The sequence below is a fragment of the Homo sapiens genome, chromosome 17, assembly GCF_000001405.40.
Source record: "Homo sapiens chromosome 17, GRCh38.p14 Primary Assembly".
NCBI lineage: Eukaryota > Metazoa > Chordata > Mammalia > Primates > Hominidae > Homo > Homo sapiens.
Window position 1 is genome coordinate 15,911,275 of NC_000017.11, and position 15,440 is coordinate 15,926,714.

The following is a 15,440-nucleotide window of genomic DNA, read 5'->3' on the forward strand; positions in this document are numbered from 1 at the left end:
TTTCTTTCTCCTTGTGCTTCTACTTTGCCTGCTATTAAAGTGGGGGAAAGTAATATCCCAAGTGGTTGAGTTGTTGGTTGTTGGGTTTAAGCTGAAATTACTCCAGGGGTTTATGTGGGGAGGCAGTTGTGGTCTTGGGATACCCGGAGTCAGTGTTTACTGTGATTGGCTCTGAGTGATTACATGTAAATGATCTAGAACCAGCTCTGCTCAAAGCAGTTTCTATGCTGGATGGTGTTGTGGTTTCCCTCCTTCCACACTGGAGCCATACCAGCCCCTCTCCAGTGGGAGCCCAAGTTGCTGATTACTTTAGCCAAACTCAGCCATTCTGGTCTCTATCCTGATCCCTTTAGGCTAACAAGAAGGAAAGAAACATCACATGAAAGAAGGGCCATGTGCAACTTATTTTTATAACTCAAGGAGGTTCCCTGACTGCCATTTTACTTGCCAATAGACATGCACGTAGAAGAGAAATGGCATGTCCTGTCCATAGAAATAACACGTGGTGGGTGGGCATGGTGGTTCATGCCTGTAATGGCAGCATTTTGGGAGGCCGAGGCAGGAGGACTGCTTCAGCCCAGGAGTTCAAGATCAGCCTGGGCAACATGGCAAGACCCTATCTCTGCAAGAAAATTTTTTTAAAAATTAGCCAGGCCAGCTGAGTGTGATGGCTCACACCTATAATCTCAGCACTTTGGGAGGCCAACGCGGGTGGATCACCTGAGGTCAGAAGTTTGAGACCAGCCAGGCCAACATGGCAAAACCCCATCTCTACTAAAAGTACAAAAATTAGCTGGGTGTGGTGGCAGGGGCCTGTGATTCCCAGCTACTCAGGAGGCTGAGGCAGGGAGAATCGCTTGAACCTGGGAGGTGGAGGTTGCAGTGAGCCGAGATTGCACCATTGCACTCCAGCCTGGGTGACAGAATAAGACTCTGTCTCAAAAAAAAAAAAAAAAAAGCCAGGCCCTGGTGGCACATGCTTGTAGTCCTAGCTACTTGGGAGGCTGAGATGGGAGGATTGCTGGAACCCAGGAGGTTGAGGCTGCAGTGAGCTATGATTGCACCACTGCACTCCCACTTGGGTGACAGAGGGAGACCCTGTATCAAATTAAAAAAAAAAATGCAGGTGGTGTTTCAGGGCAATGAGGCTGCCTGTCCTGAAGTGTTCACTTTTTCCTCCCAGGGAAGCCACACTATCCCAGCCTTTTTCTCCCTAGGGCCTCTGCATCTTCTCAGACAGCACAGGCTCGGATAAGGGATCATCACTTATCACCTAGCCAGGATAGCAGCCACGGCTCACTTCCCTCTTGGGCTGTCAGGTGACAAGAGAAGCTGTGTCCAGGAGATACCACGTCTCGTTTGCCCAACATCTGATCACCTGCAGCTGTCTTCAGCTGCTCAGTGGTTCACACATGCATATGCAGGCATATGTGAACACATGCACACAAACACGCACGCACACATGGGCATTTTATGGAGGGCCAATGACTTAGCACTTGGGACGATCTCTTCCGTATTTGCCACTGTTTGGGCCCCATTAGGGAGGTTCCCATCCTGTGGCCTAGACTGCTACAAGAATGAAGCATCATCTGTGGACATTTCGAGCCTGGGCTGTCTGAGCACACACACTTTACAGGTACCTGGCTTCAGGCCACTTAGTTGCACTGAAGCCCCAGGGCTTATTCCTGCGCCTCTGTAGCCTAGATTCGTCAGATGGTGATGGAGAGAAAACACTCACCCTAGAAAGTGGTCGTATTAAATGAGGTGTCAGGTGAGAGGCTCCCAACGTGCCCCCTGAGGCATCTGTTGTTGCACTGTCTGTGGCAATGGTCTCTGCTGCCCAGAAGCCCATGGCACTTGCCCACCCTGTGTCCCTTGGCCCACAGCTGGCTCTTCCTTCCCTGAGCCAGAAGGGCTTGGATTCTTAGGCTGTGCATTTACACCCTGCACTCTGAGCTCCTTGGAAGCAGAGCTGTGTATTTACTGACTCAAAATGCTACAGCCTAATGTGTAACAGTTGCTAAATAGATAATTTTTGATTAATTAGTGGAAATATCCAGCTCCCACTGATGGTCATTCTGACTTGGAATTCTTCACTGAACTCAAGGAATAAACACCTCCGCATCCAGCCTGGTTTCAGAGCTGCAGTCAGTCTTGTCAACAGTTGTTTCCAGCTTTTCCAGCTTGATGGTGAAAATCCCAGAATTGCAAACAAGAAGGACCCCTGGAGGGAAACTCAAAACCTGGCCATTCTAAGACCTTTGTCATTTTTCCTTCTTTCTCTGCTACTATCACTTATGGTATCATGAATGGACACAATACATTTCCAAGCAGAATCTCTGAACCTTCCAAACTCATTAAATTCATACATTGTAACTTGACTCACCTGCCTTATTAAAACCTTACCAACATTTTTCTAGATTATGAAAAATATGCTATAAAAAAATTTGGCCTGGACATCTTGCAGTGTTGGCCAAAGGGCCGGTCCCGTCACCCCTCCCATATGTCCATCTGGGTTACTATTTATATCACCCTTTAAACCAGATCATTACCCTCATATCAGAAAAATAGCAAAACAGAAAATGGAACATGGGAAAAGTTAGCCACAGCTTGCTTTTACTGCTACATGTGACCTCAGAAGGCCTGGCCACTGTTTGAAAAGTCTAATCCTAGACAACACATATGGCTGGAGAAGGAACCTTGACCACAGCAGAGTCTTCGATCTTCTCAGGGGCAGGAGGACTTCACTGTGCTCTTCTGATAGCCAGGAACAGGCACCTAGGCGGGCTGCCCCGAATCATGGGGACATGCAGCTCATGGCAAGGAGGAAAATGAGCCATACTGAGTCCTGGGAAGGCATTTCAAACACACATTTTACTCCCACACATTTGACCACCTATAGTTGGAAGAAAAAATAAGGTTAATTCAAAAAAAAATTCTTTGAGACAATCTCACTCTCTTGCCCATGCTGGAGTGTGGTGGCATGATCCTAGCACACTAGAACCTTGAACTCCTGGGATCAAGGGATCCTTCCACCTCAGCCTCCTAAGTAGCTAGGACTACAGATGCATGCCATCACACCCAGCTGACTTTTTATATTTTTACTTTTTGTAGAGAGAGGGCTCTTGCTTTGTTGCCCAGGCTAGCCTCAAACCTCTGGCCCCAAGTGATCCTCCCATCCGAGTCTCCCAAAGTGCTGAGATTACAAGTGTGAGCCACTGTGCCCAGCTGTTAAAAAAAACAGGATGTGTCTATTGTCACCTGCCATTGCAGCCAATAATCATGTGCCCCAGAGCAAGCATGAACCATATAGCTGGTCTGTCTACAGCCTCAGCTCCTGTGGGTCACCCATTGTGTAAGTGTCCCATGACATTGAGTGCAGTTTCAGTATTTAAAGCTTTCTTTGCTTGCTTGTTTGTTTGGATACAGTATGGACCTTAACTGCAAGCTAACTGTTTCATCTAATGCTCAGCGCATCCCTGGAGGAAAACTTGGCTGTGTTGGGGCCATTTGAGAGGATTTTTAGATGTTCCAGATGGTAGCTTGATGGCAACTGACACAGGAGAATTTCCAACTTGTGCACTGACTTTAGATCCTAACTTCTTAGGCAACTCTCCTCAAAGTTCAGGTCTTTTGGGGCAACCCTCATTTCGTGACTACCTCGGGCTGAGTCATGACTGCTCACTGTCATTGTATTCGCTTTCTGTGGCTGTTGTAACAAATTATCACAAACTCAGTGGCTTAAAACAACAGGAACTTGGTATCTCACAGTCCTGGGGTTCAGAAGTGCAGCATAGCCTCACTGTGTTAAAATCAAGGTGTCACAGTGCAGCTTCCTTCCTGGAGGCTCTAGAAGAGAATCCGCCTTCTTGCCATTCCCAGCCTCCAGGGGCCTCCTGCATTCCTTAGCTTGTGGCCCCTTCCTGCATCTTCAAAGCCAGCAGCGTTGCCTCTGTGGCTGTTCTTCCAGTCACATCTCCCCTGGTTCTCTGCTGCTGCGAAAGGCGCTCTGATTTTAAGGACTCATGTTAAGTAGATTGGGCCTATCTGGAGAATCCAGGCTATTCTCTCTATTGCAAGGTCTCTAACCTTAATCACATCTGCAGAGTCCCTTCTGCCATGTAAGCTAACACATTTACAGGTTCCAGGGACTCAGGAGTGGACATCTCTGGGGACCATTATTCTGCCTGCCATAGTCATCTCTTCTTTCTTTCTCCACCCATTAACAATCCATGGAATCTTTCTGTATTTTCTAGTTATAGTTACCAAGCTGTGTTAGTCAAGGTTCTCCAGAGAAACAGCCCCAATAGGAGATAGATAGGTGATAGATAGACAGGTGGACAGAAAGGGAATGAGATTAATTATACAGAACTGCCCCATGTGACTATGGAGGCTGAGAAGTCCCACAGTCTGCCGTGTCCAAGTGGAGACCCAGGAAGGCCAGTGGTGATGTTCAAAGGCCTAAAGAATTAAATATTCCTCTACCTTTTGGTTATATTTAAGCCCTCAGTGGATTGGGTGATGCCCACTGATATTGGGGAGGGTATCTGCTTGATTTAGTTCACCAACCCAAATACTAATCTCTTCCAGAAACGCCCTCACAGCCACCCCAGAAACAATGTCCAACCAGCTATGTGGACATCCCTTGGCCCAGTGAAGTTGACACATAAAGTTAACCGTCACACAAGCTGAAGAATCAGATTGGCCTGCGATAGGTCTCCCCATTCTGCCTGAGCAGGCACTGATTTTCACATGGGATCACCTCACGGGTCACTAACCAGTCAGCAGTCGGCTGCCCTGGCTGTCAGCTGGGGTGGGGGGGTCACATGGCACTCACTATGGCTGCCTGCTTACGAACAGGCGAAGACTCTTGCAGCCCAGAGCTGTCTCCCTCCAAAGGCAGTGGTAAGCGGGATGAGCTGCAGGCTGTTATGTGTCCTGGGATGGGAATCAGGCTTCTCCCAAACAAGTCAACCTTCCTGGGGACTGCAGCTTTGTGCTACTGCAGCTGGAAGCCCAGCAGGACTGTGGGTCTGAGCCAGCCCCTGAGTTGAAGTGTAGGAGGACAAGTCACAGACAAAACCCCTCAGACACCGAGTTAAAGAAGGAAGGGCTTTATTCGACCAGGAGCTTCGACAAGACTCACATCTCCAACAACTGAGCTCCTGAGTGAACAACTCCTGTCCCTTTTAGGGGCTCACAACTCTAAGGGGGGTCCGCGTGAGAGGGTCGTGATCAACTGAGCAAGGAGGGGGGGTACATGACTGGGGTCTGCAAGCTCCTGCGTCGGTAATTAGAACAGAACAGGACAGGGATTTTCACAGTGCTTTTCTATACAGTGTCTGTAATCTATAGATAACATAACCAATTACATCAGGGGTCAATCTTTAATTACCAGGCCCAGGGAGTGGTGCCAGGCTGTCTGCCTGTGGATTTCATTTCTGCCTTTTAGTTTTTAATTCTTTCTTTGGAGGCAGAAATTGGGCATAAGACAGTATGAGGGGTGGTCTCCTCCCTTAGAAGGGGTTGTGGCACCAGTGAATTAGGTCATTGCCAGACCATTTTATAGACCAGGAAACTGAGGCACAGAAAGGCTCAATAATTTGCCTAAAGCAGCTCAGCTTGGAGAAGGCAAAGCAAGGATTTAAACCTAAGTGATCTGGCACCAAAGCCTGCACTCCTAGCCACTGCTCAATGCTCCACCATCGGCCACCTGTCCTGGAGAAGGAGGAGCACTTGCTGTGATCTCTTAATTGAAAAACAAGGCCGGGCACAGTGGCTTCCCAGCTCTTTGGGAGGACAACATGGGAGGATGGCTTGAGCAGGAGTTCAAGACCAGCCTGGGCAACAAAAACGAGACTGCATCTCCACAAAAAACTAAAAATGAGCTGGGCGTGGTGGCGCCTGTGGTCCCAGCTACTTGGGAGTCAGAGGCGGGAGAATCGCTTGAACCCGAGAGATAGAGGCTGCAGTGAGATCTGATTGTGCCACTGCATTCCCTCCTGGGCAACAGAGCCAGACCGTGCCTGCCACGGTACGCTGGTGTCCTCTTGAAGAGGGGGCTAGGCGGGGACAGCGGTACCCACGGAGTCTCGGAGTCTCGAGGGGCACGTTCCCTCAGGGCTCCCAAGGGGCGCCCACAAGGCGCCAGGCTGAGCCGGCGCAGCCAAATCTCCTCAGGGCTGCGGCCGCCCATCCTGGGACCGCGCCCCTGCACCATGTGGACGGTGCAGGCTGGGCTGGGGTCTGACGCCCGAGGACCCCTTCCCCCTGCCCAGCCCTGCCCCCGCAGGCACTGGAGGGCTCCCCTAGGCGGGGCTCCGGGCTAGGGAACAGGGATGCCCAGCAATCTCGCGCTCCCGGGGCCGGACTCCAGCGGCAGGGGCCTCCCCAGGCTGCGGCTCCGCGCCGGTGACGGGGGCTCTGCCGAAGGGCTCCTGCCCCTGCCTAGCCTGGCCCATGCTGGTCGCATCAGGGGCTCCATTCAACAGACGACCGCTCCGGGCCTGGCGCGGGCAGGGGCGCGCAGTCACCGCCTACTCGGCTCCTTGGCTTAGGCTCCCCAACCCCCTGCCACAGGAGGCCACCCCAAACTTCGCCTGTCCAGGCGAGTGCTCGGGCTCGGTCCCAGCCCCGCCTCCTGCCGCTGTCCCTCCCTCCCTCTCGAGCCTGCACTGGGCCCGGGCTGTCCTCCTCCGTATCCTTGTGGGTGATTGTACGTCCAGGTGGCCGTCGCGAGGCACCTTAGACTGGGCAGCTTAGAAACAACATTGCTATCTCGTGGTCCTGGGAGTCTGCGCTCGGGGTGGCAGCGTGGTCGGGCTCTGGAAAAGGCCTTCTTCCCGGTTGCCCAAGACCACCTTCTTGCTGTGTCCTCACTTGGACAGAGGGAGCTGCTCCTGGCCTCTTACAGGGGCAGGAATCCTTCCATCCTCATGACCTGGTCACCTCCCCAAGGCCCCAGCTCCTTATACCTTCACCTTGGTTCAGGTTTCAGCAGAGGAATTTGGAGAGGGGCACACAAACATTCAGTGCATTGCTGTGGGCTTATATCTTCTTTTGCGTCTTCTGGCCCCTTAAAAGTCGGAGTCTTAAACCTTTCCTCCGGTAGGGGCCTAGTTTGTAGGCTGAGTACAGTCACCACATACAACACAGGATGCCCAATTAAATTTGGATTTCAGATAAACAATGAATAATTTCTTTTTGTTTGTTTTTTTGAGACAGCCTTGCTCTGCCACTCAGGCTGGAGTGCAGTAGCTTGAGGTCGGCTCACTGCAACCTCCGCCTTCCGGATTCAAGCGATTCTCCTGCCTCAGCCTGTCGAGTAGCTGGGATTACAGGCGAGTGCCACCACGCCCGTTTGATTTTTGTATTTTTAGTAGATATGGGGTTTCACCATGTTGGCCAGGCTGGTCTCAAACTCCTGACCTCGTGATCTACCCGCCTCGGCCTCCCAAAGTGCTGGGATTCAGGTGTAAGCCACCGCGCCTGGCCAACAGTGAATAATTTCTTAGCGTAAGTACACCTCCTGCAATATTTGGGACAGACTCAGGAATTATTGGTTGTTTATCTGAATTTCAGATTTTGCTGGCAGCCGTGTAAGAGCCTTGGGACAGGCAGGTCACTCTGTGTGACAGGGGACAGCCAGAGGCCCAGGCAGGAGGAGCAAATAGTGAAGCCTGAGTGAACCACCCAGGCAGGTCCTGAGCCCCCACCACCAACATCCGGTTTATGGCTCTTCTCAGTCTCCAGGAGGAGGTTTATTTTCTCCTCTGCTTCCTGGGCAGCTGTCCAGTGCCCAGCCTGACTGCTGGCAGCCCTAAGCAGATACACTCCAGATGCAGTGTGACCTCCTCGTTGCCACCTCTTGGGGAAGGAAACTGTGATGGGCTCCCTGCCATCCTACAACCATGGCACCCACTGGAGGTGTCTTGTTCTAAAGCCCAGTGGCCTATTCCAGGCCCTGGTAGGAACCAATTTGGATTATTTGACCTGAATTTTCCAGCCAAAGCCTTCAGGAGGTGCCCATCCAATCCCACTGCAACCCGTTGAGTCATTCCTGCATCTGTCCTCTACCTGCCAGCTTCTACTCACCTTTCAGGACTACCTAAAGCAAGACTGCCTTAGAGAAACACCTCTCCATTCCCCCACCCCAATTAAACTGGGCTCCCTGAAAAAATGTGGCCTTAATTTTTCCTTCAGGGCCATCATCAGATGTTTAACTCTCCAGCTATGGGTGTCATTTTGGGGTGAATGTCTGTTTCCCACCCTCAACCAGGGACTACAAGCTGTGCCAGGGCAGGTACCTGTGTCTTTGGTCACCTAGTGTGTCCTGGCACCACCTCCTCAGCAGGAAATGGGTGCCTTGAAGCCCAGTGGTAGGCATGTTGCAAGGGTTGAGCCTCCTGAGGTCAGGAGACAGCCACCAGGTACAGCAGTGGATGTGCCCAGTGGGTGGGAAGGGAAGGGAAGGGAGGCCAGGTGGGATGCCAGGTGGGGGCAGAGGAGGCTCCAGTGGCCAGCTGGGTGTACAGGATGGAAAAGACCCACTTTCTCCAGCCACTTTTTATAAAAAATAAAAATAATTTTTTTAAAGAAAACCTTTGTTCATGAAGAAATTGGGTGAATGTGTCTAGACAAGATTGATTGTAATACAGACCCAAAGACAGTTTCAATTAGCGTCAGCGTGAAATCCTGTAAGCCAGAGTTTTAAACCTTTTCCCTAGACCAAAGTACCCCAGTGGCCCCCAGGGGGTCTCAGAACACAGTTTGAAGCTGTGTACTACAGTAATTTTTTTTTGAAATCTTTTATTTTGAAGCCTTATAAATGCTTCAGAGTTTTCAGAAACTCAAATACTGAATGTTCTCATTATAAATGGGAGCTAAATAATATGTACACATGGACATGCAGAGTGGAATAATAGACACGGGAGACACAGAAGGGTGCGAAGGCGGAAGGGAGAGTGAGGCATGAGAAGTTACTTAATGGGTGCAATGTACACTATTCAGGTGATGGCTATACCAAAAGCCCAGACTTCACCACTGTTCAGTATACCCATGGAACAAAACTGCAGTCGTATCCCCTAAATTTATACAAAATAAATAAAAGTTTCTGTTCCCCTTATGACATAGCAATGATTGTTTCATATAAAAGTGACTACTTTCAGGCCAGCCACAGTGGCTCACGCCTGTAATCCCAGCACTTTGGGAGGCTGAGGCGGGTAGATCACAAGGTCAAGAGATTGAGACCATCCTGGCCAACATGGTGAAACCCCGTCTCTACTAAAAATACAAAAATTAGCTGGGTGTGGTGGCACGTGCCATTAGTCCCAGCTATTCAGGAGGCTGAGGCAGGAGAATCACTTGAATCTGGGAGGTGGAGGTTGCAGTGAGCCAAGATCGTGCCACTGCACTCCAGCCTGGTGATAGAGGGAGACTCCGTCTCAAAAAAAAAAAAAAAAAAATGTTGACTTTCCCCACCACAAATTTTCACATAAAAATGACACGCCAGAAAGGTGCATCACAGCACCGCGCAGGTATTTGTGACAGGCCTCATCCCTTGGAGGCTGCGAGCCCAGCTGGAGAAGCACAGCAGGGGGCCAACGGGATGACTCACAGATTGCACAACTGTAGGCATCTGGGAGCTCCCTGCTGATGGTCTTCTCAGACTTTCAACAGGTCTTCTATAAAAATTCTCTCGCTCTGGAATTGTTTGTATATGGCAATGTGGGAAACCAATGTTTGAGTCCAAGAACATGTGCCAGGCTTCCGGCCTTCCGATCATTCCAGGATGAGTCAGTGAGCCAGTGGGGCACCCGTGTGAGTTTTATCATCCATCTCCCCAGGCCATGGAGGATTTCTCCCCTGCTTCAGACAGTCATAGACAATGGAAACCTGTTTCCAGAAAGCAGACAAGCTGAGCCTGGGGATTTGGCAAATCTCAATCAGAACTGGCTCCAAGCATCTTCTAGGTCTCACTTACAATTTAAAGCAACAGGCGGCTTTTACTCAACTGGAAGGTCTCAGCCTGTTCTTCTGCAGCAGCAGTGATGCTATGAGATCTCTGCTGCTAACAAAGCACCACTGCAAATGGCTTCTGGAGATATTATCCCTCTTGATGGTTGCTGTCATTATCTCCTTTGAAAGTGAAATTTACCTGACACAAAATCAGAAACTAGAAGATCCATTTTCTGTAATCGTGTAAATGTTGTTTTAAAGTGACAGTTGATGCTAAAATACATGTTCAGTACAGAAAATACCAAAGGCGCAAAGAAAATAAAAATGTCCTATCATCACACCAAAAATGGGTAATGAAAATTAACATATTTTTTGGTAGTTTTATCAGCACACGTCAGTATCAGTTAGAATTAGGTTAAGTGGCAAGGGATAGAGTCCTGAAAAACAGTGCTTTAAGGTAAGAAACTTCCTCCCTTCTCATTAAAAAAAGAAGTCCAGAGGTAAAACTTCCAAAGCTAGCATGCTGAATTCACAAAATTATTAGGGATCCAGGCACCTTTTAGCTCTCACATCCTTAAGGGAGTGGCATTTATCCTCATAAATGAAAATGGCTGCCAGAGTTCCAGTCATCACAACTATATCCCAGGAGACAGAATAAAGTTTATGTCTTCCTAGAAGACTCATGTGACACTTTCTGTTATATTTCATTAGTCCCATGGCTACACCTAGCTTCAAGGAAGGGTGGGAAATCTAGTCTGGGGTTCTGTTACAAAAAGGAAGGATGACTTGTGTAGGGAATTAGAAGTCTGTGACAGTTTATATACTTTTTCATCTTAAAGTTTAACTCTGAATAGATTCAAACATTTATTTTTACTTGACTCAAAAAATTATGAAAAAATATACAGTGAAAGACCGTGCCACTCAGTCTTCCCTTCCCTTCCCAGATGCGTACACACTGGTAACTACTGTTATCAGTATTTTGTGTACCCTTCCAGAGTTTCTTAGGCACATACAGGCAAATGTGAGTAGCATCATATCCTCTTATTTTTAACCCCAAAGTTAGCATGCTATGCATTTTATTCTGCACCTGGCTTTTTGTTTTTGTTTGGGTTTTTTTCTTTTCACTTAGGCAAATGTCTCCAAGACACATTGCTATCAATACATAGAAAGCATCCACATTCTTTTTTTCTGCTGCATGGTATTCTATTATATGGGTGTAGCATCAATTATCTAGTCCCCTATGATTAGGGTAGCCATAAAACCAACCATCCAGATTGGGACATTTTCAAGAGTGAACAGGGCTGTATTATTAATTATACTGGGGCAAAGGTGTAAACCAGGGCTGTCCCAAGCAAACTGGGATGTAGGGTCACCCCATAGATGATGAACATAGGGACTGTTTCCAGTCTTTTGCTCTTATGACAATGCTATCATTATTAATGTGCATATGTATATGTTCATGTGTGTAAGTTTCAAACATATACTTGCTGGGTCAAAGAGTTTATGCTTCTGACGGAACATGCCAAATTGCTCCTGTGGGAGCTGGATTAACTTGTTCTCCCATGAGCATCATAGGAGAGTGTCTCTTTAACCACAGCTTGGCCCACAGAGTGTGCTATCAGACATTTGGATTTTTGCTGGTCTAATAGGTGAGAAGTGGTGTCTGAATTTAGTTTTCATTTGCATTTTGTTATAAATGAGACTGAATATGTTTTAAAATTCTGTTTGTGTTCCTTTTTCTGTGAACTGCTTTTTCATATTCATTGCCCATATTTCTTTTTCTTTTTCTTTTCTTTTTTTCTTTTTTTTGAGATGGGGTCTGGCTCTGTCACCCAGGCTGGAGTGCAGTGGTGTGATCTCGGCTCACTGCAACCTCTGCCTCCCAGGTTCAAGTGGTTCTCGTGCCTCAGCCTCTCGAGTAGCTGGGATTGCAGGCACCTGCCACCACGCCTGGCTAATTTCTTTCTTTTTTTAATTTTTTTTTTTTTTTGTATTTTTAGTAGAGATGGGGTTTCACCATGTTGGCCAGGCTGGTCTCAAACTCCTGACCTCAGGTGATCCACCCACCTCAGCCTCCCAAAGTGCTAGGATTACAGGCGTGAGCCACCACACCCTGCCATTGCCTCTCTCTCTCTGTCTCTCTCTCTATGTGTGTGTGTATATATATATATATATATTTTTTTTTTCTTTTGAGATGGAGTCTCGCTCTGTCACCCAGGCTGGAGTGCAGTGGCGCGATCTCGGCTCACTGCAACCTCCGCCTGCTGGGTTCACACTATTCTCCTGCCTCAACCTCCCGAGTAGCAGAGACTACAGGCGCCCACCACCACGCCCGACTAATTTTTTTTGTATTTTTAGTAGAGACAGGCTTTCACCGTGTTAGCCAGGATGGTCTCAATCTCCTGACCTCGTGATCCACGCGCTTCGGCCTCCCAAAGTGCTGGGATTACAAGCGTGAGCCACCGCGCCCGGTCCCATTGCCCATATTTCTTAGTGAGTGTTTGGAAACCTCATCTTGGAGCTTTTAGTACATTGGAGAGATGATGTATGTGATTTGAGATGCAAATAGCTTCCCCAGTGATTGTCTTTGTTTCTGCTTATGATGATTTGTTTTTGCCATGGAGAAAATTTTTTTAATTTTTGTCTCTTCTTTTGCAGCTTTGTTTTTTTTGTTGTTGTTATTGTTTTGTTTTGTTTTAAGACAGAGTTTTGCTTTTGTTGCCCAGGCTGGAGCGCAATGGCGTGATCTTGGCTCACTGCAACCTTTGCCTCCCGGGAACAAGCCATTCTCCTGCCTTCGCCTCCAGAGTAGCTGGGATTACAGGCACCCACCACCATACCCAGCTAATGTTTATATTTTCAGTAGAGACAAGTTTTCGCCATGTTGGCCAGGCTGGTCTCGATCTCCTGACCTCAGGTGATCCACCCGCCTTGGCCTCCCAAAGTGCTGGGATGACAGGCATGAGCTACTGCACCCAGCCCTTTTGAGGCTTTGGATAAGTCAAAGCTAGAAAGCCCTTCCCCATTCCAAGGTTATAAAGGTGTGCTCCTTTATAACCTTCTACAACTTTCATTCTTCTAGAACTTTCATTGTTTTCTTTTAGAACTTTCATTGTTTTGTCTTAAATCTTTGATGCATTTGGGATTTATCTTGAAGTACATGGTGGGGTATGAATTTATATACATTTTAAATAAGTATATTATAACTTTTCCCATAGTAATGCAAGCTTATTGTTAAAAAGTTAGGCAGTATTCTTTGGGAGGCCGAGTCGGGCAAATCACGAGGTCAGGAGATCGAGACCATCCTCGCTAACATGGTGAAACCCTGTCTCTACTAAAAATACACACACAAAAAAAAATTAGTCTGGTGTGGTGGTGGATGCCTGTAGTCCCAGCTACTCAGGAGGCTGAGGCAGGAGAATGGCGTGAACCCAGGAGGTGGAGCTTGCAGTCAGCTGAGATTGTGCCACTGCACTTAAGGCTGGGCGACAGAGCGAGACTCCATCTCAAAAAAAAAAAAGTTAAGTAGTATTTATGGTATATATCAAAAGACAGCAGTCTCCTGTTACTATCCTTTCCCTGTTTACCCCCCTTAGCCCCTCCAGTCTTTCAAATGTTTTTTTCTTTCTTTCTTTCTTTCTTTTTTTTTTTAAAGAGACAGAGTCTTGCTCTGTCACCCAGGCTGAAGTGTGCAGTGCAGTAGCGTGATCATAGTTCACTGTACCCTTAACTTCCTGAGCTCAAGCAATCCTCCTGCCTCAGCCTCTGAGTAGCTGGCACCACAGGCATATGCCACCACACCTGGTTATTTTATTTTATTTTGAGATGGAGTCTGACTCTGTCACCCAGGCTGGAGTGCAGTGGCACGATCTTGGCTCACAGCAACCTCCACCTCCCGGGTTCAGGTGATTCTCCTGCCTCAGCCTCCCGAGTAGCTGAGATTATAGGCGCCTGCCACCATGCCTGGCTAATTTTTGTATTTTTAGTAGAGACGGGGTTTTACCATGTTAGCCAGGCTGGTCTTGAACTCCTGACCTCAGGTGATCTGCCTGCCTCAGCCTCCCAGAGTGCTGGAATTACAGGCGTGAGCCACCGTGCCCAGCCTACTTTTAAAATACATATAGAAATGGGGGTCTCAAACTCCTGGCCTCAAGCGATCCTGCTACCTCAGCCTCCCAAAGTACTGGGATTACAGGCAGGAGCCACCGAGTCTAGCCTGAAAGTTTATTTTTATATGTATCTCCCTATTTATAAATAGTAATCTAACACTGTTGTATGTTAACTTCATTAATTTTAAGCATGCTTCATTGTTAGGTTGCATGAGAGGTCTTCCCTTCAAATAGAGGTGAAGTAATAAATGTTAGTGAACTCTGTGTCAGGATTTCTGTGCAGTTAGTACTAGGATTTGACTGTTCTCTTTCTGCGTATTTGAATAATTAACCTGAGTTGGTAATTGTGACCTCCTTTTCAAAAGTGTAAAAACCAGACAGCACTTTGGGAGGCCGAGGCGGGTGGATCACGAGGTCAGGAGTTCAAGGCCAGCCTGGCCCAGATGGTGAAACCCTGTCTCTACTAAAAAAACCAAAAAAATTAGCCAGGTGTGGTGGTGTGTGCCTATAATCCCACCTACTCAGGAGGTGGAGGCAGAGAATTGCATAAACCCAGGAGGCAGAGGTTGCAATGAGCCGAGATCTCTCTACTGCACTCCAGCCTGGGCAACAGAGCAAGACTCCGTCTTAAAAAAAAAACAGATTTAGGGTTAAGGCGAATGGGATGAGAGGAATTCCTTATTTTTTTCTCCAAAGCAATTTTTTTCTGCTTATACAAACTTATTGTTTAAAATAGCTGGTTGCATTTGCCTCTGAATAAGCAATAACCCAGCATCGGTTTTATTTACTTGCACGCTTTCAGCCTCGCATTTCTGAGCAGCCCCAAGATTCCTCTGCAGATGCTCTACAGGCTCCTATGTGCCAGGCACCCTGCCAGTTGCTGGAGATAGAACAGTAAGTGAGACAAACGGGGTTGTGCCCTTTTGGAGCTCACACTCTGGCAGGGGACGCAGACAAGAAACAGCCCAATACACAAGATGACAGGTGTTGATAAGCACTAGGAAGACAAGCAGAGCAAGGCAAGGAAAGAAGAGCCAGAGAGAGGGGTGCTATTCTAGGGAGGATGGTCAGAGGAAGTCCCTGAGTGGGTGACACGATATGAGCAGATACCTGAAAGGTATGCGGGGGGAACCATGTGACAATCGGGGGAGAGCTTGATGGGTGGGCACAGTATGTCCAAAGGCCCTGTGGCAGGGACATACTGGTTCACTGGGGAGGGTCAGGGTATGGGGGGCAGCAGAAGGCCAATGTGAGCAGCAGAATGGGCAAGGCAGCTGCTAGGGAATGGCTCATGAGAGATGGGTAGGGCAGAACCTCCCAGGCCCTATCTGAGGAATGGCAAAGTTCTGAGCAGGACCTAATTAACATTTCTAA

At 48.1% G+C, this 15,440-nt stretch overlaps 1 protein-coding gene across 2 annotated transcripts in view; it reads left to right on the forward strand.

Annotated features, from left to right (window-relative positions):
• ADORA2B (adenosine A2b receptor) overlaps positions 1–15,440 on the forward strand; it is a 125,385-nt gene that overhangs the window by 60,913 nt on the left and 49,032 nt on the right. The gene's annotated exons all lie outside the window — the stretch shown is intronic.